At 43.3% G+C, this 2,513-nt stretch overlaps 2 annotated features.

Annotated features, from left to right (window-relative positions):
• Window positions 779–1,376: an enhancer, noted in NCBI's record as "H3K27ac-H3K4me1 hESC enhancer chrX:111744986-111745583 (GRCh37/hg19 assembly coordinates)". NCBI's record gives its function as "activates a minimal SCP1, AML or CMV promoter by ChIP-STARR-seq in naive H9 embryonic stem cells {active_cell/tissue: H9 hESC(naive)}" and the evidence as "EXISTENCE:reporter gene assay evidence [ECO:0000049][PMID:30033119]".
• Window positions 1,377–1,973: an enhancer, noted in NCBI's record as "H3K27ac-H3K4me1 hESC enhancer chrX:111745584-111746180 (GRCh37/hg19 assembly coordinates)". NCBI's record gives its function as "activates a minimal SCP1, AML or CMV promoter by ChIP-STARR-seq in naive H9 embryonic stem cells {active_cell/tissue: H9 hESC(naive)}" and the evidence as "EXISTENCE:reporter gene assay evidence [ECO:0000049][PMID:30033119]".

Below are 2,513 nucleotides of genomic sequence, written 5' to 3' on the forward strand. Positions count from 1 at the left end.
TTTTGGATTTTTTCATGATTCAAACTTGGTAGGTTTTTTGTGTCTACAAATTTTTCTATTTCTTCTAGATTTTCCATTTTATTGGCATATAGTTGCACATAGTAGCCATTAATGATACTTTGAATTTCTGCAGCATTTGTTGTAATGTCTTCTTTTTCATCTCTGATTTTATTCATTATGGCTTTCTCTCATTTTTCTTAGTTAATCTGGATAAAGATGTGTTGACTTTGTTTATCTTTTTAAAAATCTAACTTTTCCTTTCACTGATTTACTGTTTTATTTGTTTCAACTTCATTTATTTCTGCTACGATCTTTATTATTTATTTTCTTCTACTAATGTTTGGGTTGATTTGCTCTTGTTTTTCTAGTTCCTTAAGATGCATCATTAGGTGTTTCTTTGACGTTTTTCTACTTTTTTGATGTAGGCGCTTATATCTATAAACTTTCCTCATAGTACTACTTTCAGTATATCCCATAGGTTGTGCTATGTTGTATTTCTATTATCATTTGTTTCAAGAAATTTTCAGTTTTATTCTTAATTTCTTCATTGACCCACTTGCAATTCAGTAGCATATTCTTTAATTTCCATGGGTTTGTATAATTTCTAAAATTCCTTCCGTTACTGATTTCTAGTTTTATACCATTGTCGTCAGAGAAGATACTTGATATAATTTCATCTTTTTGGCCAAGTGCAGTGGCTCATGCCTCTAATCCCAGCACTTTGGGAGGCGGAGGTGGGCGGATTACTTGAGGTTAGGAGTTCGAGACCAGCCTGACCAAAATAATGAAACCCTGTCTCTACAGAAAATACAAAAATTAGCCAGGCATGGTGGTGGGCACCTTTAATCTCGGCTACTCAGGAGGTTAGGCAGGAGAATTGCTTGAGCCCAGGAGGCAGAGGTTGCAGTGAGCTGAGATCATACCACTGCACTCCAGCCTGGAGTGACAGAGTGAGACTACATCTCAATAATAACAATAATAATAATAATAATTTCTATTTTTGTAATTTTGAAGACTTGTTCTGTGGCCAGACATATCATGTATCCTTAAGAATAATCCAGAGAGGAGCCAAGATGGCCAAATAGGAACAACTCTGGTCTACAACTCCCAGCGTGAGCAACGCAGAAGATGGGTGATTTCTGCATTTCCATCTGAGGTACCGGGTTCATCTCACTACGGAGTGCCAGACAGTGGGTGCAGGTCAGTGGGTGCGCGCACTGTGCGTGAGCCGAAGCAGGGCGAGGCATTGCCTCACTCGGGAAGTGCAGGGGTTAAGGGAGTTCCCTTTCCTAGTCAAAGAAAGGGGTGACAGACGGCACCTGGAAGATTGGGTCACTCCCACCCAAATACTGTGTTTTTCCAATGGGCTTAAAAAACGGCACACCAGGAGGTTGTGTCCCACACCTGGCTCAGAGGGTCCTATGCCCACAGAGTCTCGCTGATTGCTAGCACAGCAGTCTGAGATCAAACTGCAAGGCAGCAGCGAGGCTGGGGGAGGGGCGCCCGCCATTGCCCAGGCTTGCTTAGGTAAACAAAGCAGCCAGGAAGCTCCAACTGGGTGGAGCCCACCACAGCTCAAGGAGGCCTGCCTGCCTCTGTAGGCTCCACCTCTGGGGGCAGGGCACAGACAAACAAAAAGACAGCAGTAAACTCTGCAGACTTAAGTGTCCCTGTCTGACAGCTTTGAAGAGAGCAGTGGTTCTCCCAGCACGCAGCTGGAGATCTGAGAATGGGCAGACTGCCTCCTCAAGTGGGTCCCTGACACCTGACCCCAGAGCAGCCTAACAGGGAGGCACCCCCTTGCAGGGACAGACTGACACCTCACACGACCGGGTACTCTAACAGACCTGCAGCTGAGGGTCCTGTCTGATAGAAGGAAAACTAACAGAAAGGACATCCACACCAAAAACCCATCTGTACATCACCATCATCAAAGAACAAAAGTAGATAAAACCACAAAGATGGGGAAAAAACAGAGCAGAAAAACTGGAAACTCTAAAAAGCAGAGCGCCTCTCCTCCTCCAAAGGAACGCAGTTCCTCACCAGCAACGGAACAAAGCTGGATGGAGAATGACTTTGATGAGCTGAGAGAAGAAGGCTTCAGACGATCAAATTACTCTGAGCTACGGGAGGACATTCAAACCAAAGGCAAAGAAGTTGAAAACTTTGAAAAAAATTTAGAAGAATGTATAACTAGAATAACCAATACAGAGAAGTGCTTAAAGGAGCCGATGGAGCTGAAAACCAAGGCTCGAGAACTACTTGAAGAATGCAGAAGCCTCAGGAGCCGATGTGATCAACTGGAAGAAAGGGTATCAGCGATGGAAGATGAAATGAATGAAATGAAGTGAGAAGGGAAGTTTAGAGAAAAAAAGAATAAAAAGAAAGGAGAAAAGCCTCCAAGAAATATGGGACTATGTGAAAAGACCAAATCTATGTCTGATTGGTGTACCTGAAAGTGACGGGGAGAATGGAACCAAGTTGGAAAACACTCTGCAGGACATTATCCAGGA

The sequence above is a fragment of the Homo sapiens genome, chromosome X (genome assembly GCF_000001405.40).
Source record: "Homo sapiens chromosome X, GRCh38.p14 Primary Assembly".
Lineage (NCBI taxonomy): Eukaryota > Metazoa > Chordata > Mammalia > Primates > Hominidae > Homo > Homo sapiens.